This window comes from Homo sapiens, chromosome 8, assembly GCF_000001405.40.
Source record: "Homo sapiens chromosome 8, GRCh38.p14 Primary Assembly".
NCBI lineage: Eukaryota > Metazoa > Chordata > Mammalia > Primates > Hominidae > Homo > Homo sapiens.
Window position 1 is genome coordinate 130,885,908 of NC_000008.11, and position 23,568 is coordinate 130,909,475.

Genomic DNA, 23,568 nt, shown 5'->3' on the forward strand with positions numbered 1-23,568 from the left:
AGCCTGTGAGAGGTGACATAGGACCTTGCAGATCCTCTTGCCAAACCTTCAGATATCGATGAGCCTCAGAGAGACTTGCTCATTTGCCGCCAAGCCAGATCTGCTGACTCCAGGACCACAGCTGGAGTCAGGAGCTTTGACCTCTGTGAAGCCATCCAGCCCACCCCATAAGGATTCTCCCTATGGTGTTATTGAACCCTTCATTTTAACCTTCATGAAGGTAATCAATGTAACATAAATTCAAAGCTTCTAAAGCATTCTATAGCAAGGCTCATCACGGCTAGACTTTACTGAAACCCTCTTCTCCAGCCCTAGAATAAAGAATAGAGCTGCCTGTGCCAACATGAGAAAGCAAAGTACATGCTCTTAGGGCACTGAAGCATGTAATTTCAGCTCTGAGTACCAAAGAGACTACTATAGAGAAAAAAATAGATGTTAGGGGGTGGCATGTTAGGAGAAGGGCTGGAGCAGAGACAAGGAGGCCAGAACCAATGTTCTGGAGAATTGAAAAGCAGGATACATGCGGGGCCAGAGAGTTTAGTCCCTGGAATTAAATGCTATTAGTGCAGCATCCCAGAGAGCAAAGGAAGCTGAACTGTCAGCCACTTGGTGGATTTCTCATTGGTTTTTTGGTCAGAAATTTTTTTCATATGGCATGGAAAGTGATAAAACTCCATTTTCCGTCTTGGAGAAGAGATGGAAATGACAGTCCAGCTGTCCTCGTCTGACCATACATTCTGACCTTGGGATGCCAGGGTGCCCTCGTAAGTGCTTGGAGCTGGGGTCTAACAGCTGGAGAGGAAATCTGCTACAACATCTGAGCACATTCATAGTTAGGCATCTCTCACTGTCTGATATTTTTATTTGTATATGGTTTTCCTTCTATTAACTAAATTGAGCTTATCCACTCTACCAGTCCCTTGTGCCTTCAGTGACTCTAAGACTTTTGGATTTCACAGAGGAGAGAAGTTTCAAAAAATAGTTTGGGGATTGATTTCTTTAAATTTCAGTAGCAGCAGCAGCAGTAGCAACCACAGCTCTTTAATATGACCATTATGTAATAGAAGAAAGGGCGTTTTTTTTTTCCTTAACAGGAATGATGTAGTCTCAGAATAAAAGACAGTCCTTTACATTGAATACATTTAATTTAATAAATAACTATCTACTTTGTCCTTATTTTTCTCATATTAATGTGAACTGGTGAAAATGTTAGCAGGAATTGATACTGGTATGTAGAGGACATTTGGAAATTAGGAATAGACATTGCTTCCTGGTTGCCTGTGCTGTATTCAGCCGTCCATTCAGAGAAGGATTCTGCTGCCATTGGCCACTTCTGTAGGATACAGACCAATGAAATCTCCTCCTTTCGAAACTCCCCTGCTCCTCTCCACATTCTATTGGCTGTCTATGTGGTTGCTTCAAATGAGAGAGAAATTTAGAGGCATTCTTCTTTCTTTCATCACCACCACCAAGTTATAGGTAATAGTTGGGAAGGAGCTCCTTTCATCAAAATGTCAATAATGTGGTGGAGAATTCTTTTCTTGCCCATGTAGTTATTTTTATTCTTTGCAAGTGTTTTCCTAGCATTTTATGCAGGTAGTCAATTTTCAGTGATGTTTTTTCTGATTATTTCCTCTGTCAATTACATATGACAATTACAAATGCTGTTTGGCCAGCAACCTCTCTAGCACCTACCTTACTCCTTAGGAGTATATGTGCTTAAGGGAAGACCATCATTAACTCAAGAAGGCAAGCAAATTGAAACTAGAGAGGGACATCAGGAAATCATCTGCTTTCATTTAACCCTCAGTACACTGCAAAGGCTACATGTCTTTGGGGGTGACTATGATTTGGGATTATCTGTGATACCCCTCTATCTCATTAGTCATTAGTAATGACCACTAAGATGTCACCTTCAGTGGGATAATGTTACCAACATAAAAAATCCATACACTGATATATTCACTATATTCACAGTGATTCATTTGTAATCAGTAGTGGAGACAGGTATAACTTGTCTTATTTGTCTATTTAGAGTCATTAGAGTCATACTGGAATGAGCTATTTTTAATAGAATAGGGCTTTCTCTTTTTAAGACTTACAGCACCAGTGCGAGCTAGACTGAGATCATGTTTAAAAATAGCATAAGCTTCCAAATGTGATTCCAGTATTAAATGGACCTCCAAAATGTTGAGACGGTTCTTTCACATAAACACTCTAAACAATTGGCTAAAGAATAGGAAAAACAAATGGACAAAATGGAATAAAATGGAAAATGCCATAATACTTGACTATAATATAATATATATATAATAGAATACATATATTTGAACGTATGCTTCAATGTATGATTGAAGTATACATTGTATTTATATATAATATATGTATATGTGTATACTTAGCTGGTGTTTTTGATATTTGGGATGTCAGATTGAAGCAGCAATGTAATAATGTTATAAATGATGTTATAAATAAATAATGCTATTCATTTACTTTAGCTGGTGTTTTAGGTATTTGGGAAGTCAGTTGGAGCAGCAGAAATGGCAGAGTTTGCAGCTGAGATGGCCTCTCATGACTGAGTTTTTTCCCAAAATGATGTTGAATTCCCTAGATTTATCCTAATGGAGATTCGTGCTCTCCTCAGGTATTTCCATAAATGTTTCCTCCCTCACAGGTGCTTGAGATAGATCAAAGTGCAAATGAGAACCAGAGTTCCTTCTGAACTGAGTCTCTGATGATAGGATCTTGCTTGACAGTTTGGGGGTTCTGGTGAAAATTATAATGAGAGGGTCAGGTAGCCCTTTGTAAATTGCATTTGAATGGGCTGGGGGAAGTCACAAATCCTCTTAAGCTCATCATTTGGTTTATGATCAGAAGACTCTTCTTTAGGACTTGTCTTTTATCTGTGTTCCCAGTAAAATCCTACTTTTCTTGCAGATCCTATCACTTCATGGATTGTCATAAAATTTGGTATTCATTAATCAGTTTGTCACAGCAAATAATTCTTCCCAGCAAGACTGCAGGCTGAAGGTGTACTGTCTAGAAACATCCAGTTTTGTTGAGTCAAAACCATTTCAGGTCTTAGGGATCATACGCTCAAATCTCAAAAGACCCTTTAAAGCATCCTTACAGACACTGCAAATCAGCTTACATAGTTACAGCACTGGAGTGATCTATTTCGTTGTTAGATCCTCCTAATTCACTCTTTCTCAAAAATGTGTTTCAAGAAGCACAAGAATGATGAGATGTTTCATTACAAAGTGGTTCTGTGGACCAATCAGTTTAGAAAATGTAGATCCATTATTTGTTTACTGCCATTTCTCCTTACCTTAATTTTGTCTCTTTTGTTCATGTCTTTGTCCCCAGGGCCTATGACAATGCCTGATACTTTGTAGTCACTTAAGTACTTTGTAACCACAATAAATGTGTTTACTGAATGAAAAATTTCTTATATCTTCCTATCTCAATACACTTTATTGAGATAAAGGCACTGATAAGTTCCACAGAAATAAGACTTTTAAACTCTGCATCTTCCAAACTTTTTTGACCACAAATCCCCCTTTTCTTGAATTGCCTCTATATGTTTCATGGAATGCTATTTGGGAAACAGTGCTTTAAAGTTCTTCCCTGCTTTTATTCAGAATTTCCACACACTAGACCTGTTTCCGATTTCTGAACAAGATCTACATCCATCTCCCTTCATGTGGCTGCTTTCCAGTGTCCTTAGCTTTCTTCACCAGGCACATGAAATGTATTTCCCCAGTTGTTCCATAGGTGATATAGTTTCTACATATTGCATAATTCTTCTTAGTTTGTCCTTGCCTTGTGGGCACTACTTCACAGAGTATCAGACCCAGTGCACGTGGCATCTGACCTTGTGGTGGAACATGGACACCTAACATAATCTGACCTATTAAGTAATTACTCATTTTATGCATTGAAACATGTAGCATCTAGGCATGTATCCTACTGCTACTATAAAAAACAAATAAGACATCACCTCCTCCAGTAAGCCTACTCTGAGGCTGCAATTGTCCTTATCACCATTACTATGATTCATTGTAATTGCCTAATTAGGTGATTGTTTCTCTAGACTATGATCTCCTTGAGGCCAGGCACTGTGTTTTATCTATAACTGAGTCTCCGGCACCTGGTATATCTGCTAGGTTCATAATAAGTGTATATGAAAGGAAGGAATGGATGAGTGGATAGACGAAAGGTCAAGTGCCTTTATAAGAAGATTGTCGAACACATGGACACAGGGTGGGGAACATCACACACCGGGGCCTGTTGTGGGGTCAGGGGAGTGGGGAGGGATAGCATTTGGAGATATACCTAATGTAAATGACGAGTTAATGGGTGCAGCACACCAACATGGCACATGTATACATATGTAACTAACCTGCACGTTGTGCACATGTACCCTAAAACTTAAAGTATAATAAAACATAAAACTAAAAATAAAAAAATAAGAAGATTGTCCCTAGGGCAGTGTTTCTGGTCTTTCACTGCAAAAGTCCCTTTAGTTTTTTTCTGTTCTCTCCCAAATGGACTTCAAATTTTGGAAAGATTCTGTTTACCAAACTGTATTAAATAAGAAGTAGTTTATTTTCCTGCTATTTGATCAAATGCCTAGTTTTTCTCAGCATGAGATAAAAGGCACTACCAATGCAGTTAATATTCCAGCCAAGAGCAAGGGCCTTTAAAGGCAGCCTAGTGACGCTTGTCAATGTGAGGTTTTATTCAGACTTTTGGGATCCAGAGAATGTCACTCCCATTACTACTTCCCAGTGCTGGCTGCTAGAGCACCAGAGACCACAGGCTGGCAAGGGGTAACCTTGAGCCTTTTCTGGGACCAGCACCTGGGCTAACTTCAGTTTGTGTGTTCTCCATGAGCCAGTTGTGGAAGGAGGTTAAGGTCACTAGTGAAAGCACTTTATTCTTTATTAGCTCCTGGACAAGGCAGATGTGGTAGTCTTTAGATTTAGCTATAGTAGTTGTGACTGAGGTCTCACAGTGTGGGCCAACTCATTGCTGATATGGAAAAGACCTAGCGAGAACGCCAGGCTCAGCAATCTCAAGGCACAGCTGTGCAGCTTCTGTCTTTCATGCTGAGATGTCCTAACCTTTCCCAAAGACTCTGCTTATTTTCAGTTTCAGGCTGGAATCTTCATTCAGAAGTAGGTAGGGCCAGTAGTTTCCCCAACCTATTCTGGGAGCACGCTTCCATTACCCCTGTGGCAGCATGTTTCTGTGCCTAACTTGGAAGCCTCTGTACCTCTATTTTAAACTTGATGCCTGCAGCCTTTGGGTTGTGGAAAAGGCAGAGGTTCCACCTTTCAGTTCTTATGAACTTCCTATGTCCTACAAGACACAGGAAAAACAGTGAGCCTAAGTAAGAGTACCTCAACAGTGCACATTACAGCGATTCTTTCTCTACTGTTTGTTAAAATGCCAACCCAACCCCTGGAAGAGAAGGCTTCTACTTTAAAAAGAGTCATTTTGTGTTCTTTTTTTGACAGATTATAATAATATACAATTATGTGGTACATTGTGATATGATATACGAATATGTTGTACAATGATTAGATTAACCTAGTTAATATACCCATCATCTTAAATACTTATCATTTATTCTTCTTAAGAAAGCTCATACCTTGGGAAAGCTTCAAGGTGATCTAGTCTACAATGGTTTGCATTGAGGACCTCAGGGAGGAGAATGCTTGTTATGTTTGAAAATGGCACAATTTTTTTCCCTCAAATCTGGGAATGGGGAGATATGAGATGAAATATTTTCCTAGTAAGAAAATGCTAAGTGGTATTTGAGTAAACATTGACTTGGGGAGCCCTTGATAAAATATCCACATGAGATCTCCAAGACCCTGTCTTATAACAAGTTTTCCTTCTTATGGGAGTGGAGGTGCTAGTGAATAGGACCATTTCCCATAAGCAAGGTATCTTAGTTAAGATTGTTGCAACTTTTCTTGTCTATACTAAGAGAAAATGAAACAGTACAGCCAAATGATCTGTTTGATGCTTTTTTAGTTAGAAATCATGCTTACTTTTCCTTTTATTTTTTGAATATTTATGTCACTGTAATCTGTTTTCCAAGAAAAGCAAATGAATGTTTAACGAGATCTTATTGTGGGAGAAGGTCTGTGGGATTCTGCTATGGAAAGCGGTTTAAATAATTTTCATAATAGTCTCATAGCTTCTGCCCCAGGAAACGATATAACAGGGGTCAGAATGTCCATTCTGTTGCAATAATAGCCTAGACATTTCTATAAGCCTACTGTAGGATTTCAGCACCCCTCTGTTGTCTGGTTTCCCAGTTATGAGTAAACAATGTCAGTCTGGGGCTCAGGTCATTTGGGAAATCGTTGCTTCCCATCTTTAGGCAGAATTGGAAGTTTCCGACTATTGTCTGGATGCTAACTTTGATAGGGATGAAGGGATCTGTGACATCCTTTGATTGACTTTTGTTCCTTGGTGTCCTGAAATTTCAGTCTATGATGAAGAAAATAAAACAATGACAAGGCAGGTGCCCCGACTCTGGCTGATACCACACTAGGCACTTACTCATTTGCTACTCATTGGAACCCCACAACCTCACTCTTGGCCTTTCAACTAATATTGGTAAACTGGAGCATGAAAACAGTTTAATCATTTGGGGGTTTAGGTCCCAGGATATCCAAGCACAATCCTGGGCTGTCTTCCTGGTGTGCTTTGCCTGGCATTAAATGCCTCACCTCTTGCTTCAGTTCAACCTACTCCTGGGTCATGGCTTTAGACACAGATGTACTCTCCTGGTTCTCTTGAGATGTGATGTGGGCAAGTGGTCCGCTGTGGCTTCTCTCCAGGTTCAACCACAATTCCCCGTGATTGGGCAGAGTTCTCAGGATAAGAAGACTGAGACCTCACAGAGGGAATTACCAACATTCTAGATTTTGTCCCTTAGAGCTGGCCTAAGGAATCCAGCCAGGTTAACTTGGGTCAAGTGGGGTCTGACAATGATTCCCTCCTGCCTGAGAAGCTTGCCTGACTCTATTCCACCAATCTATTAGCTAATCCTAGATGCTTGCCTCTGATATTATTCTTTGAGCTCCTTAAAAAGAAGATTCTCATCTCAGTTTGGGAAATGTGATTATGTCTGAGACATTACACACTTGGGTCATTTTTATAAAATCAAAAAATGTTGTTAAACTTCTGCAGAATTGGCGGAAACAGAACTTGGCACACTCATTTAGATCCGACCACTTTGACGCCACATGATTTGAGGCAAATTGTCAATTGAATTGAATTTTTAGCTTTTTAAGTATCACATCCGTAGTAATGTGTGGAACAGATATGCAAACTCCAGCACGGACTTCATCTCGAGATTAGGGATGGTGTAAGTGCTGGGATAAGGTACGATCTAGGAATGGAGGCAAGATTTCTGCCAGGATTCACATGGGACTCACAAGTAGGGGAGAGAGAAACTGAAACATTGGTGGTTTGTTCATAGGGCCACAGGGTAGGTGTGAATTGAAATATCTCCTAGCACTGAATTAGCTGGGTTGAAATGTCATTGGCTGTAGTTGGTGAGATGACCACTATCCCATTGACTGAATGACCTTGGGTTGGCAACCTGGAGAATTTTAGCTCAGGAAATGAATAAACAAACATATATCCAGACCTAAGTTACTCCATTTTCTTGTGAACATCAAAGATGTGGATTTTTTAGAGGTGTCAATACCATGGGGAGAAGAAGGTGTGTGTGTGTGTGTGTGTGTGTGTGTGTGTGCATGTTTATATGTGTGTGTGTGCATGTTTATGTGTGTGTTTGTGGGTGTGCAAGTTTATGTGTGTGTGCATGTTTATGTGTGTGTGTTTGTGGGTGTGCATGTTTGTGTGTGTGCATGTTTATGCGTGTGTGTGTTTGTGGGTGTGCATGTTTGTGTGTTTTGGGGTGTGCATGTTTATGTGTGTGTTTGCGGGTGTGCATGTTTGTGTGTGTGGTTGTGGTTGTGTTTTCTTAATAGAAATTTTGAGAAAATTGAAATAGAATTATTTAAATGTTTAGCTTTGAAGGTTCAGAAGTAACTTTTAATTTAGGCAGATGAAAAACTTACACATCTTGGGTTGCTGATAAATTGCTCATGTTTGGTGTTTTAAATTTCTCAGTATGAGTTTTTTCAGACCACTCTTATACAATTTACTAATCACATGTAGTTATTGATGCTTTCCTTAATTTAATTCCAATGGAGCAACAAATTACTGACCTTCAAGAATCCAGCATCTCTTACTTTTCACCAGTTGTGTCAGGGCAAAACTGGGAAAAGAAGAAACGGTCTATGTTAGAGCTACATTGCTACCTCTTTGGGGTTGTGCCTGCTACTTCCTTTTACCCTAACTTTCCCAACACACACATTTCTATAAGAATGGTGTAATTGGTTTAGCTTTTCTGGTTTTTTATTATCCCGCGTGTTTATTTCCAGGCTTATCCCTTATCAGTGGTCCTGTGTTTAAGTTTTCCCCAGACATGAAGTCCAGAGTGGGTGATACTTCATACAATGTATCCAAAGTCCTTACTATCTCACAGTGTGACATGATTCTTTAGGGGACTAAAGGTAACATAAAAGTCACACAGTGGGAAGAGACACTGCCAAATCTAGTGGTGCATAACCTGAAATTCACAACAGTAGTTTGGGAATCCTTGAGATAGAAGAGGACCTTGCAAAAACTTCCATCCATACTGTATGCTTACTGAAGATAAGCCACTGTAAGTCTCTTTTGACACAAGGGGAAGTAAAAAGAAGTACATATATAAGTACCGTGGCTGTTCAGGCCAACAAAAATATCCGTTATCTTTTCTCTGGCTAGAATTCAGTCACCTTAGAATGGGAAGACCCTTGTGTTTGTGTAGAGCAGGAAAACTGGTGGGTCAGGGCACATATAAAATTACTTGAAAAATGGGAATAAAAATTCACTCACATCAAATGCAATTTTGCTTGGAAAGAAAAACCTTCCTCGATATGAACTGCGCTGTGTCAAACAATAAAAGTTATACTTGGTGGCAAAGAGATGAGAGCAATCCTGGTGTAGCTCAATGAAGAGATTTTACACTGAAGGATCTGAGCCCAGTCCTTGGCAAAGTGAACACCAAGAATGATAGAAAATAAATCCCACTTCTTTGTTTTCAAATTGAGGAAATAAGTCAGGGGAAAAGAATCCAGATTTTTGCTTTTACTCTTCCTACCTATCTTCTCATATTTAAAATATCATACATTTCCACCTTGACATATTTAAAGTGCTATACGTTTATTGGGTCTTGTTTGTCAGCCCTCAGTTTTATGACTCCCCAAACAATGACTCAATATCTCATAAAAGAAGAGTCCAATTCGTTTGTGTAGAAAAGTTTTAGCAGGTTATCAGCCATGGGAGTAACCGTGGCTGCATGATGTATGCTTGACAACCTAAATGTGTATTTTTCATGTCTGTGGTTATACATAAGCCTCAGTCCTATCTCTACCTTTATCTCTTCTTCCTTAGTCTACCCCAGGAACTTCAGAGAAAGGAAGGATGATGAGTCAAAGCAAATGGATCCAATTGCCTACTTAATCCATTCAATGTTCTCTGGAAGCCTTCAAATCCACTTGTCTTTTGAAACAGAGTGAAAAAGCAGACCCCACTAATGATTCTCCCTGGCTGAACTCAGCAGCTATCCTCAGATTCAGAGCTCAGGACAGCCTGGGGAGTTTTATTGTCAGAAAAAGCCATGTTACTGGAAGAATGCAGCTTGACTTCAGGAAAATTTCCAAAGATTTCCATGTTCTTGACCCTAAGTCTGCAGATGTCTTATCTAATAAGCATCAAAACTTAATCTGATGTTAAAATGGTTAAAAAAATTACCTGTGGGGAAAAATATGCCTGTGATTCTCTGCATATTTATATTGAATATGGACAATTAGATGTCCTGTAACTTATCACAGAAGCAGTTACCTCTGAAAACACACCTTTCTAAAGATCAAGATTCAATATTTCAGGTGTTTTTAGGGGGAGGAATTTCAGGTCAGAATTCCCTGTAGGGAAAGAGAAATCTGTGCTTTGGTCTTGAGCAAAGAAACTCAGGCTGAGATGGTGGACTTGCTTTTTCTCCCATTCTAAGGTCTTGTTCCCTCATTCTTGGCTTAATTCCTGCTTGCCTGTAGATCTCAGCTTAAGGTATTTCCTGATTAACTCAGATCAATTTTCCCTCATCTACTACTCTACTACTCTGTCCTGCCATAATTGTAACAATGTTCACAGTGAGCCTGCTGACCTCTTAGTAGCACCATCAAACTAAGCTCCGGAGTGCTTGCCCCACCTTCGTCTCTATCCCCAGATCCTAGAACTTTACTGGCAAATTGTAGTTTCTCAGTAAGCTGTTGATAAATGCATGGCTGAATGAATGAATGAACAAATAAGCATCTTGATAGGATTGCCTTTCTTAAGCTGAATGATAAAAGTAAGATGAGTTTGAATTTAAAGAATGCATTTTTTTGCACGCCTTCATATTCACAAAAAAGAGGCTTGCCCCTTAGTTTGAATCCACCCTTTAGGGGCAGAAAGAAGAAGGAAAGAAATCAAATCCCAGGGAACAATATCACTCAATAAGAGAACATAATGACCATGGTGAAAACAGGACCTTGAAAGCAGGCAAAGTGTGATGATGTCTGTAATGATGTTTGGGTGTTTATCTACATAAAATCATAAGTTATGCTTAGAGAAAAGGGTAAATCTCATTCCCTAGTTAGGTAAGATTTTACCTCAAATACTTTTTAATTTTTTTTTCTTTAACTCCTGTTGCTGAATTTGGTATTCATGTTTTAAGACGGTTCACCAGGATAAGTGTAGCTGTTACCCTACAGTAAGATAACTGTAAACAGTGGATGTCCCCATGGCTTCCTGGTAAATTATTTATGGATGGTAGAATTCTGAAGTGTATGTGGCTCACCAGTATGGCCACAGTCTTGGAGCCTGTGTCTGAGGTAGGGAAACTGAATAGGGCAATGTCAGAGCTGAAAGGAATTGTTGGATCATCCAGTCCAGTTTTGCTATTGTTCAAATGAGGACACCGAGCCTTGGAGGGGAGAAGTGGTTGCCCAAGGTCTCTTAGTAGCAACTGGACAAATCTGACTCCAACTCAGTTCTGCTTAGTTTCTATTCAGGCCCTTCCACTATCATATGTGCAAATTTCAATTCCTGCAGAGATTTACTCAAAGATCACAAGACTCACAGTCTACAGAATTAACCAGTTCACTCTGAGGAGCCTGAGGCTCAGCATTGGATCCACAAGGAGGTTTCAATCAGGACGGCAATCAGATGAGAATTCTTCCTTTTCTTCTAATAAATACAGAGAACAAGATCTAAGAAAAGTCCCAGCTGGAATTGGTGAAGATATAGTAACCTAAATATATTCTTTGACCATGTTCACCAGCCCAGCCAGCCCCCACTGACTTCACATTTCCTTTTCTTCTGGTATCAACATTTGCCAACTCAAGTGGGACTAAATCAAATTGTTGTTTGTTTGTTTTTACTACTAGGCACATGTGAGAGGCTGCCTAGTGTTGCCTTGTTCCAGGCAAACAATCATCATGCGAGGACACTCAGGCAATGAGATCCTTCTTGGTTGGGTAGGATTTCCAAAATTTAGCTGGAGCAGAATCTGGTCATTTCCTGATGTTTTCATTTAAAATTTCTAAATAGCCGTGGTGAGCAAGTGACCCACATATATGAGAGGGTGAATACATGTACACACACATACACACCTCACATCATATGCACATACACACATCACACACATACAACACATGCAACATATACATACATACCACACATACATCCATATATACACACATCTCACACACACCATACCACACATATATACATATATCACACCACATACACAGCAAACATACATAATACACATATAAACACCACACACATACACCACATACATACCGTACACACATATACATGCACACTACACATATACACACCATGTACAAATACACATAACACACACCACACCACACCACACACATATTCACACACACTACACACACAACACACATAAATACTCACTCACCTTCTGAGACTGACAGATGACCTGAAAACAAGGTAGAAGATGACACCCAGCATATATCTTCAGGCCACAAAGATGGAAGCAGTGTGAACTGATGGAAAGCATGGGGCTTTTTGAGTCAGATATATGGGGCTCTAATTCCATCTCTGTTATTTACCAGCTATGTGTCCTTCAGGGAATTAATCAATTCTCTCTGAATCCCAATTTTCCCATTTGTGAAGTAGGCACATCACACTTACCCTGTAAGGTTGGTGTGAGAATTAGGTGGAAAAACATGGGCACACCACTCCCGACATGCTACCTGTCCCGAAGCTCTCTACTCCTGTCAGTGTTGGTGACCTTGTGGATGTTTATCTATATTCCAGGCAATGAAGTGTGTTTGCTCTCCATTTGTTACATGGAGATAGAAATTCCATCTGTGTTTATAATCCTCATGGTAAACACATTAATTTCAAGATAACAAAAATGCCTCAAATCAGTCTATTGCATAGAAATGACTAAAACATACAGTGGAGGTACCAGTTGTGTACTTTTCTCCATATGACTCTTTCAAAAGGCCTAGCGGAGTAACAGAAACATGCCTGGATTCTCAGGCTGTAATAAATGTGAAAGGGATGGATGGGATGAAGATGATTCCACAACATACGGAAACAAATTCCAGGCTCTGAAAAGGGGCCTTGCTTCTCAAAGAGTAGCCTCAGTTCTCTTGGCATATCACTTGTCATAAAAATCCAGTTAAAATGATTAATATCCTACACACAATACATTTTTATAGCTACATAAAAACCTTTGGTATCTTCTTGAAAATCTGAAGTCTAAGACGGATCTTTTTTCTGCTAAGTCTACTCTTGTCCCGACAGTCCATTCTTCACAGGCAGCCAAAGTGATCCCTTAAAAATCTAATTGAGATCACATCACTGCCCCGCTTTTACCCTTTCTATCACTTCTGGAATAAAATACATCAACAAAGCTTGCAGGACGGAGGTCCCAGCCCCTTCAGCTCCATCTGTTACTCCTTTTCCCTGCTCACTATGCTCTAGCCACTTGGGACTTTTTGCTGTTCTAACACACTAAACTCCTTTCTACCTCAGGGTGTCTGCACTGCTTTTCCTCTGTTTAGAATGCTCTTTTCCTGCTTATTTGCATGAGAGTCCTTTTAGCACTCATATTAAATCTTTAGAGAGACTTTCTCTGACAATGCCTTCTGTATGCTATATACTCCCTGGTCATATCTCTCTATTTCCTTCATTACACTTATATGTTTTGATTAATTGTCTGCATTCCTCACTCCTTTGAAATGTAAGCTCCTGGGCTGGGTGCAGTGGCTCAAGCCTGTAATCCCAGAACTTTGGGAGTCTGAGGCGAGTGCATCATTTGAGGTCAGGAGTTCGTGACCAGCCTGGCCAACATGGTGAAATCCCATCTCTACTAAAAATACAAAAATTAGCCAAGGGTGCTGGCACGCGCCGGTAATCTCAGCTACTTAAGAGGCTGAGTTGGAAGAATCGCTGGAACCCGGGAGGCGGAGGTTGCAGTGAGCCGAGATCGTGCCATTGCACTCCAGCCTGGGCGACAGAGTGAAATTCCATCTCAATAAAAAAAAAAAAGGAGAAAAGAAAAGAAACATAAGCTCCTGGAGGACAGGATTCATTCATTACTGGATCCTCAGTATGTAGTACACTTGAGTATCTGTTAAATAACAGAATGAACAATAGCTCAAGCCCAGATATAGATTTTACTCAGAGCATGCAGCAGAAAAGGAAAATATAACCTTTATGATAAGGATCCTGTTCTTATCTTCCTTTCATTTGCAATGTTGTCTTTCAACTGAGAGATTCAATGTCCATGTTGATAACTCATTTAATAATCTAGCCTTGAACTTCCTGGATATTCTCCCCCATATGTGAAATTTTTCACTTTTGATCTACTTCAATCATCTCCTTCTACTTTTTAAATCTTAAGTTCCAATAGTCCACCTGTGATCATAAACTTCTTGCCTTCTAGTTTCCTTACTTTCATTTCACCTGGAAACTCAAGGCATGGGGAGTCTCACTGGGATCTGAGTCAGGGTTCAGGAAACCAAGGCATCAAATTAAGAGGCAGAACATCTGCACTTGTCAAGGGCCAGGGATATAAAAGGGCATGGGTGTTCAGGATGTCCAAGAGCAAAACTTGGATACCAGAATGGGGTCAAACCAACAATTTTAACCCAAATGGATACAGATACAGGGGCAGACAAGACACAGCATCAAAACCAAGGGAGTATGGTCAGGCAGACAGAAACTGGAAGACTCACATAAGGGGCCACAGATAATTATTAGTGATTTTCATTGCTCCTCCAAGCCATTTACAAACTACTGAAATGGGTAGAGGGAAGGGAACAGGGGTGGAACTGGAGTTCTTGGAAACCCAGAGCCACCTCTTACCAATTATGATGACCTGGCTTCTGACTCTACCATCTCACCAGATCTGCCTCTTGCCAATGATGTCCTTCAATCCAGTTCCAATAGGCAGCTATCAGTCTTCATCTTCCTGGGCCTCTTGTCTCCATTTGACTTTGCTGATGGCCCCTTCCTTCTTAAAATGCCATACTCTAGGCTTCTGTGACACCACATTCCCTAGTTCTCTTCTGACAACTTTGACTGTTTCTTCTCTGTCTCTGCCAAGGAATACGAATCTTTCACCTTCCAACTTGTGCTCCTCAAGGTCTGCTTGTGTCTTCTTGTTCCTTAATTTTACAGATTCTCAACAGTGATCTCTTTCACTGCCATGTCTTCTACTAACACCAAAATTCTCGTGACTATGAATACCAAATTCACATCCCTTGCACAGTTCTTTTATGCCTGAGTTTCAGAAATGTGTGATCACTCTCCCTGGATTTTTCCCAGACACTTCAAGCTCCACATGTCCCAAAGAGAATTCCTAGTCTTCCTCACACAATCTCCTATTCCAGTACTGCTTATTTTAGTTGGAAGTTCTATCATCGACGCAGTTCCAAGCAAAAAATCTAGAATTCAAACTTGACTGATTCCTCTCCCTCACTACCCATATCTATCATTTAATTCACTTATTCAACAAACTTTAATCAAGCCCTGTGATTTGCCAGGTATTGTTCTAATTGTGGGCTAAATTGTGGTAAGTGAAACGGATATAATTTCTATCTTCATTAAGAATATAAACCACTGGCTGACTTTGTCTCTAAAGTGATTTTTTTTCCCCATCCCTCCTCTTTTTTTTTTTTTTTTTTTTTACTAGCAGTAGTTGGCTTGTAATAGATGCTCAATTAATCCTTATTGAATGAATGAATACATGAGGATGTAACTATCTGAACATCTGCTATCTACATAGCACAGAATATGACACAGCAATTTGATGCCATTAAACATATTTCTAAGCACATATTATGAATGAATAGAAGCCAAAACATCTGGCCAATTTAGCTGGAATACCCCCAGTGAAGCATTAGCATGCTTTATCTGTGTTATGCAAACACTCAGATGGTCGGGGCTTCCGTGGAATTGACTGGGTGTTTTGGCAAAGCATAGGCTCAGCCAGACCAGTCTTGATCTCTTCCAGGGACAAATTATGTCTCTGAATTGCACATATGGCTCACTGACTTCTAGAGTTAGGCATAAGTACAAACATTGAATACTTGTGACGGTTTTAATTGGCTCAGTAATTTCCAAAATATTATTGGTGGCACGCGGTTATTCATGAATATCAGCACACATTCACTTGCTCTTCAGTCTGAAGGCATCAAAATGAATTCAGATTTTTCGTGCTAAAGATGGCACAGATGGGTTACATCCAGGCAAAACTTGGGCATTAAAAAAATACACGGTATGGTTAAACAACACTAACAATCTCTAGCTAATAATGACATCTCTTATAATAGGTATTTGGTGACATCAGGAAATATCTTTAGGAAATCAGCAAATAAATATTTCAAGCATTCCTATACAGTTTAACCACATCAATCAACTATAGAATAAAACCAAGAACCTCCACCTCCCTCTTCTTGGCTCTCAGTTATTAGTAGCAAGTTCATGTACAATACAGATTAGAACATTAAGGAATTATCTTAATTCCTACAATCAGCATAACTGGAGAGAGATTTTTCAAAAATAAAGACAAAACAAAAACTAAAACTGAGAGAGAGAACTTTATGCTGAGGTATTCAGGATGAGGCATGCATTTCTTTCTCTTTAAATAATCAGCATACAGACCCAAGCTAACAATAGGCAAAAGCAGCAGAGAGGGCACTGTCAGCTGGTCATGCACCCACTCCAGGAAGTATATAACACCATTATTTTATAAAACAGCAAACTGTACCATGCACACCAACTCAGAGATGGAAAGAACCTAGGCATTGCAATCAGTTATGACTTTTGTGTGCATAATAATTTTTGGGGGAAATTAAACACTCACAAAAGAGCTGTCGAAGACCTAAGGGTCAACTCTTGCAAGGCATGCAGCCTAGGTTCAACCTGCAGCTTTTCCCAGTGGAATCTGGCCCATGCATTTTCTCATAGTTTTTCCCCCACAGATCCAGAAAGAAACCAAAGACAGCCTAGTCTCAGAGTGCCCCATCAAACTTTCAAATGCAGAAAAAAGAGGGGAGACTTTCAGCATTTTAACCTTTCCATTTAAAATTTTTTTAGGCAGACAGATTTTTCTTATCTATAAGTTAATGAGAAATGTTGAGGTCTATGGAATTTAAAAATTAACCCTTATATGTCTTCATAAAACTCCAGACACTATTGGCTGGGTACTTCATGGTACTCTCAGCTTCTGCTTGGTCGAGGATCTTATCAGAAACTGTCAGATAACTGTCAGATAAGTGTTATATATTGGCTATTTTTATTTCTTTCTCTAAAAATGTATAGTACAGTCACATCATTGAACTTATGTGAATTCAACTAAATGTGCTGTGTCTAAGAGGTTAAAGGGAAAATCCATATTAGAGCAGGTAATTTTGCCATGGCTCCAAGCAAGCATTCTGGGAGAACAGAATCTCTGTGTCCACCTTGGTTCTCGACCTGGCTCAGCCTCAGTTCTCTAAGTGCCTCTTGGAGTCTGAGCATCTCATTGGGTTTACTGTGATTTCAATATTTGAATAAATAATTTAAAAAGAATTTTGGTTATTGGTGATCTACTCCTTATGTACTGACTTAGTAGCCCTGTCCTTCATAGAAGATGCAAATCCATGCTATATAAAAATAGAATCATGTGGGTGGCTTTGAAATTGCATGCTCCTCCTGAACTCCCTAACTCTAGGCATCACTTGGTGCTCCTTTCCTATTTCCAAATCTGCAGTGCCCCCCTGATTTTGAATCTCAGAGGGTGACACAGAACTGATGATGGCCAGCTACCGAAAAAGGGGCATTCCCATGTACTTGATCCTCCCCTTTAGTTTAATAACAGAGGGTTTATTTTTTCCAACATGAGTGGTTTTTTTTTTTTTTTGGTAAAATTACAATTCAGCTTCACATAATATTTATTTTTAGCTAGGTTACAAAAAAAAAAAAAGAGAGAGAGAGAGGGTGTTAGGAACCCTCTGGCATTTCTGGCATTTCCTGAAATTGCATACGAGGTTAATTCTGTCCTGAGGAGACAGAGAGATAGTTTGATCATTTGCAATTATGGTGTTCATTGGAGAAAAGGTTAAAGATGAATCAGTTTTCTCTGAGGTGTCTGGATTGGAGATGCACACGAGCATGCATTCATGGCCAAGCAGAAGGAGGAAGAGAGGACTTACATTCTGTTTCCCCACGATATTATCAAAGGGCAGTTCAGGGCTCCAGGATCCTTCAGTGAATGTGGCCCCACTGTTTCTCCGGTCTGAGGAGCTCACTGACTCCTTGACGATATCTTCAGGCAAGGACAGCAGACTGTCCTCAGGCTGCTTAATTAAGTAAGTTTCGATATTATGCTTCCTCAGGAATTCATTCCTCTCTTTACCATGGCCCTCTTCCACGTTATAGTCACCGTTGAGACAGTCCAGCGTGGCTTTGGAAATGTGAATCCTCCTGTGTGTAGAAGGCATAGGTCATTACACACTCCTGATGTTGCCTGCAAAGGCTATATTTTTTTGACCTGTACAAAACCAACACCAGGGTTACACAAGGGTATTATTAGGACATGTCCTCAGGGACAATACTTGTCTTCCTAAAAAGTAGAAAGAATAAAAGAAAATAGAAGCATAAATTCATGAGCACAGTATCACGGACATCGTCCCAAGAGACACTGCTGCCTCTGATAAAATACAGCCCTTCTGAGCCACACCTAAGCACATCTTTTGGCTTTTCTTATGATTGTCAGCCTGATCCCAGCAAACTTTACAAAACAGTGATTTTTTTTTTCAGTCGTGTTGATTATATTGGAAAAACAAGTGCTGCAAATGTTTCTGAACCCCAGTGGCAATCATTATCCAAATCACCATGCAAAAACAGTTCTTTCTTCGTCTTGGAACCTGTCCTATCATTTCAATCTTCATGTATTTGTAACTTGTTTCTCCAACTTGTCTATATTCTTCTCAAGGGTGATTCTGATAAGTCCATAGGGCTGCACTGAGGGTCCTTTGGGAAAACCACTGTAGGGTACAATTTCCCCTATAACATGTATATTATAAGGAGCAAAGAACAAAGCTGTGGACATGTGCAGGCTGGCAGCTGGCTGGGCTCACTCACAAGTGAAGTGACTCATGGCTGCACAATTGTCAGCCACTGTGGCTCATGACTCAGGCTTCTTTTTTAGCAAAATAACATATGACATCAGGGCCTTGAGGATCAAACTTGATTCATGGAAATTTCACATGGTAAATTCTTCTGGGGAAGAGTTTTTCTGTCCTCGTAACTGTCTAACTCAATCATACTACTTATTGCGTTATAGTGTGGTCTGGGTAGACTAGCAAGGTAAGGTGGTTACAAACATGGACTTCATTGCTAGATCTCCTAGATTCAAACCGTAGCTCTGCCACTTGCCAGCTGAGAGATCTTGGGCAAATTACTTAGCCTTTCTATCAGTCCATTTTCTTACCCATAATATGGGAAACATAATAACACCTATCTCTGACTATTATTGTGATTATTCTACGAGTTGATTTGTGTAAGGTAGTCAAAACAGTGCATGGTACAACATATACACTATAAAAGCAAATATGTAAGTTATTAAGAGTATTCTAAAAAATGCCATTGTCATCATATTACTGTTGTGTATTCCATGCCTTCTCAAGGCTTGCAGAAGACTATTGTCAGGCCTTCTGAATAAGGCCTCCAAGCTTTCATTCTCTGGCTCTGTCACTTCAAAGCTCATTTTCTGACACTCCTCTAATATAGCTCTCCTATGCTCTCTCCAGCTATTCAAGTAATTGGCAATTCTCCAGATTCAACGTACTATTTGGTGCTTACTAACAATTTCCTACTGTCCAATTCTGCTCAAAAGTCATCTTCCTAAGTTTACTTTAGTGTTCATTTGAATGAAAGAATGCTTAATATTTTGATTGGCTTTTGGAATGCTAAGAACAATATATCCAAGTAAACAGAAAAGTTTTTAAAAAAAATTTAGAGTGGCTTTTAAAAATGCACTGTAGTGGCTCATGCTGAGGAAGCCGAGACTGGTGAATTGCTGGAGCTCAGGAGTTTGAGACCAGCCTGGGCAACATGACAAAACACCATCTCTACAAAAAAATACAAAAGTTAGCTGGGCGTGGTGGTGCATGCCTGTAGTCCCAGCTACTTGAGAGGCTGAGGTGGGAAGATCGCTTGAGCCCAGACAGTTGAAGCTATAGTGAGCCGAGATCATGCCACTGCACTTCATTCTGGAGGACAAAGTGAGACCCTGTCTTAGAAAAAATAAATAAATTCATTAATTAAATAAAATGCAGTTTACTTTTAGTATTAGCTCTGCTACTCCCTCTCATCCTTCTAACCCATTCTGCTAAATCCCTCCTTACAGAAAGAATAGTTCATTGCAAAGAACATGTGAAAAACCAGAAACTACAAACAAATCATTTCTGATACTTCATGTTCTCCACATCTTCCACATAAATATCTTGATTGATTTCAAGTGCAAGATGTTAAAAATAAATGTGTGAAAGATGTTTTCACTCTCTTGAGAAATGTGCTGAATAAATACAAAATATTCCCAAGATGCATTTTGTTAATACATATGAACTCAATAATATTGACCTGGGAGAATAACAGATCGTTTGACCTTCCATGAAATGGAAGTCCCCATCCGCTTTCTCAGATGAATCTGAGTTAAGACTGGAAGCTTACCTTTTCTCCTAGACAAAATGAACCTGGTAGGAGGGTTTTCTAAAGTACCATGGTTGATTTTCTTTTAAGATAATTAAGTTACATATCAACCCCTTTTAGCATTTCTCTGGATTCTATTTTTATTATTCTGCTGTCAGTATGCAAGGGGACAAATACTTCCATGTATTAAATCAATATTATGTTTTCACTAGTGAAAGAGATCCTTGCCTTCACTGATTCTTCTGCTGAAGTGCTAATCAATATGCACTTAAATGTTTTGGTAGAAACTGGGTTTTAGATGTTTCTTTTCATCCTTGTTACTAACTTGAGCTTTGGGGTAAGACATTTGCAGATGAGATTCTGAAGATTGCATTTCTTTCTAAGGAAATGTGTCAGTTTTCAGGCATTTCTTTCTAAGGAAATGAGTCAAGTAAACTTGGCATTTTCTGATAAATTTTAATGCTAGGATATAATAAAAGTAGTCATGATACTAAATTAAGACCTAACAATTGTGTAACTCTTGTTTTGCATAAATGTTATCTAGTAGCCAAAGGTGTTACTGTGTGCCCCATGGATTATCTCATATAATTTCCGTTCTTTCAACAACCTTAGGTATTAGACATTTCTTTGTCTCCTTTTGCAGATGCTGAAACTGGCCCAGAAGTAACAAGTACATATTTGGCCCCAAATCATATTAGTGGTTAGTGGCAGTGCTGGATTGAGACAAGAACTTTTACTTTCAGCGTCTCTCTACCACCCTGGAACTGTATTATATGGTAACTACTACCAGCACAACCACAATAAATATTTACTGAGTACAGGACAAAGGACTTTATATGCATTATTTCATTTAACACAAGTTCAAAAATGGTGATCTTCATGGTGTGGTACTAAGGCCAGCAGTTCCTACCAGGAACTGGTAGAAAGCATCATCTTGAGTTCCATGCCAGACATACTGAACCAGAAACTCGGCAGTGGGGCCCAGCAAGCTATGGTTTAATAAACTCTCGGGTAATTCCAAGGCTGAGGTTTGAGAACCGTTCTTCTAGAAACCCAAGGCTCAGTGGTGTTAAAGAAGAAGACAATAAAAAAGTGGAAAAATATATAACAATATCAAACCATGGTGAGTCTGGGGTCCCGTTTTGACATTCCTGCATTTTGCACATTGACAACATGCCATGGCTAAGCAGAGATGGATACTGAATAGAAGACTAGACTACGTGCTTTATAAGCACTATCATATTTGAAACTACATTTTTAAGGCGGATAATGTTTTCAGTCCAAAATTACAGTGAAGAAACTGGGAAGGGCATGAAGTACTTGCCACAATCTTCCAGACTTCATAACTGGTAAGTAGTAAACCCACGGTTCAGACTCATGACTCATGATATGAAAAATAAGGGTGTGAAAGATGATTTAAACTCAGTCACTTTTCTGTTTCTTTTTACAAATTATTTTATTCGTTTCTTTCCTTTTTCAACTTTTATTTTAGAATCAGGTGGTATATGTGCAGCTTTGTTACAAAGCATATTGTATGATGCTGAGGTTCGGGGTAAGAAGGAACCCTCACACAGGTAGTGAACATACTACCCAACAGGTAGTTTCTCGTCCCTTGTCCCACTCTCTCCCTTCTCCCTCTAGCAGGCCCCAGTGTCTATTCTCGTCTTTATGTCCATATGTACTCAATGTTTAGCTCCCACTTAGAAGTGAGAACATGTGGTGTTGGGTTTTCTGTTTCTGCATTATTTAAATTAAGATAATTTCTTTCAGCTGCATCCATGTTGCTGCAAAGGACATGATGTCATTCCTTTTTATGGCTTTGTAGTATTGCATGGTGATGTGCTGATTTAAACTTGGTCACTCTTCTGTTTCTTAATGTTATTGAGAACAATAGCTAAACTGGCTTCCAGATATCAAAGCAGTATCTTACAAACCCCCAAAGCATCCTCTAAGGTTTGCAAAAGGAATCTATTGAGTATATGGGCAATTCCCCATTTGGTGATGCTTTTAAGATACAGGCCTGGAAACACAGATGAATTGGCTAACTTGTTTGTCTAAATTCAGCAGGTAGTTACTTGTGGGAAAATCCTAAAGAATGGAAAGATTTAAGAAACCCAGCAGTGACACATCAGACCTTCCTCAATTCTAAACCTGTCTGGCAAACAGCCATGACACACCACATAGAGTGAAGGATCCCCATAAGAATAGTAACTGACCTGGGGTGTCCCTGCACAGTGTACAAAAAAAAGCGCTTCATACCCATTGCCTGAGATAATCTTCAGAGGAGACCTGTGAGGTGGATTATGCCATTATAGCAGATGAGAGAACAAACTCTCATGGAGGAGGAAAATAAGTTCACAAGGTAGCAAATCATAAGTAGTATTATCTCTCTTCCTGCAGTGAAGAAAGTTGGACTCAGAAGTTAAGCACTGGCCTGAGATCACACAGGTAGAGTGATGCAAGCCAAGTTCACACTAAAATCACACGCCAGGTGCTGTGCATGCTTTACATAACTTGCTGAAGATAATAGAGTTTAGCAAGGGGCAGAGTGGGAATCCTAGTTACTCTGATTCCACCTCTTGTTGTCTGTTTCCCCCATGATAACATATTACTTGATATTAAACATAGTTTGCAAGGAGTGATGGCACATACCAGAGAAATCTGTGACTCCAAGGGCAGTTCTAGGGGGTAGGAAAAGGAATATGTGGAAGTGCTCTCTCTCTCTCTCTCTCTCTCTCTTTCTCTATCTCCATCCATCCATCCATCCACCATCCATCCATCCATCCATCCATCATCTTTAAGAAAGAGAGGCTGCAGAAAATCACACTGGCTCACATATATCTGAGATCTTATTAGGTCCAATCTGTGTAAACAGAATCTTGATACAACTTTTCAAGACTTACATTAGTTGCAGTGGCCTTTGCAGACCACTAGCACCTTTGGGGATCCTATGTCAACCAACCTTGACAGCCAAATTTGAAATGTTGAGTTTCTAAGGAAGAGCCTGATTTCCTCACTGAGTCCTAGATCATGCATGGAAAGTCAGTAGGTCTTAATCCTGGCTGCCCATTACAATTCACTGAAGAACTTAAAATAGATTCTGCACAGATTCTGCTTTAAATAAACTGGCATGGGGTCTGGACACTAGTATTTTTTAAATGTTCCTTTGGAGATTCGAATGTGCAGCCAAGTCTAAGGACCAAT

At 39.6% G+C, this 23,568-nt stretch overlaps 1 protein-coding gene and 1 long non-coding RNA gene across 6 annotated transcripts in view, besides 1 other annotated feature; one reads left to right on the top strand and one right to left on the bottom strand.

Annotated features, from left to right (window-relative positions):
- ADCY8 (adenylate cyclase 8) overlaps positions 1-23,568 on the bottom strand; it is a 260,609-nt gene that overhangs the window by 105,607 nt on the left and 131,434 nt on the right. For 4 of the 5 annotated variants that reach the window (XM_017013006.2, XM_006716501.4, XM_005250769.4 and 1 more), the window contains exon 7: positions 17,865-18,135. In XM_017013006.2, coding sequence (XP_016868495.1) covers positions 17,865-18,135 — 271 coding nt within the window. Of the gene's footprint in view, positions 1-8,164; positions 8,312-17,864; positions 18,136-23,568 lie in introns of those variants that run through there. The other variant, XM_017013007.2, reaches the window with a different exon arrangement.
- Positions 36-21,072, top strand: LOC124902068 (uncharacterized). Its single transcript, XR_007061184.1, has 3 exons — positions 36-220; positions 2,499-2,644; positions 21,008-21,072. It is a non-coding gene; the product is annotated as an uncharacterized LOC124902068 (long non-coding RNA).
- Positions 17,828-19,027: an enhancer, noted in NCBI's record as "BRD4-independent group 4 enhancer chr8:131915981-131917180 (GRCh37/hg19 assembly coordinates)". NCBI's record gives its function as "activates an origin of replication core promoter dependent on BRD2, P300/CBP, MED14 and CDK7 cofactors, and independent of BRD4, by STARR-seq in HCT116 cells {active_cell/tissue: HCT116}" and the evidence as "EXISTENCE:reporter gene assay evidence [ECO:0000049][PMID:35650434]".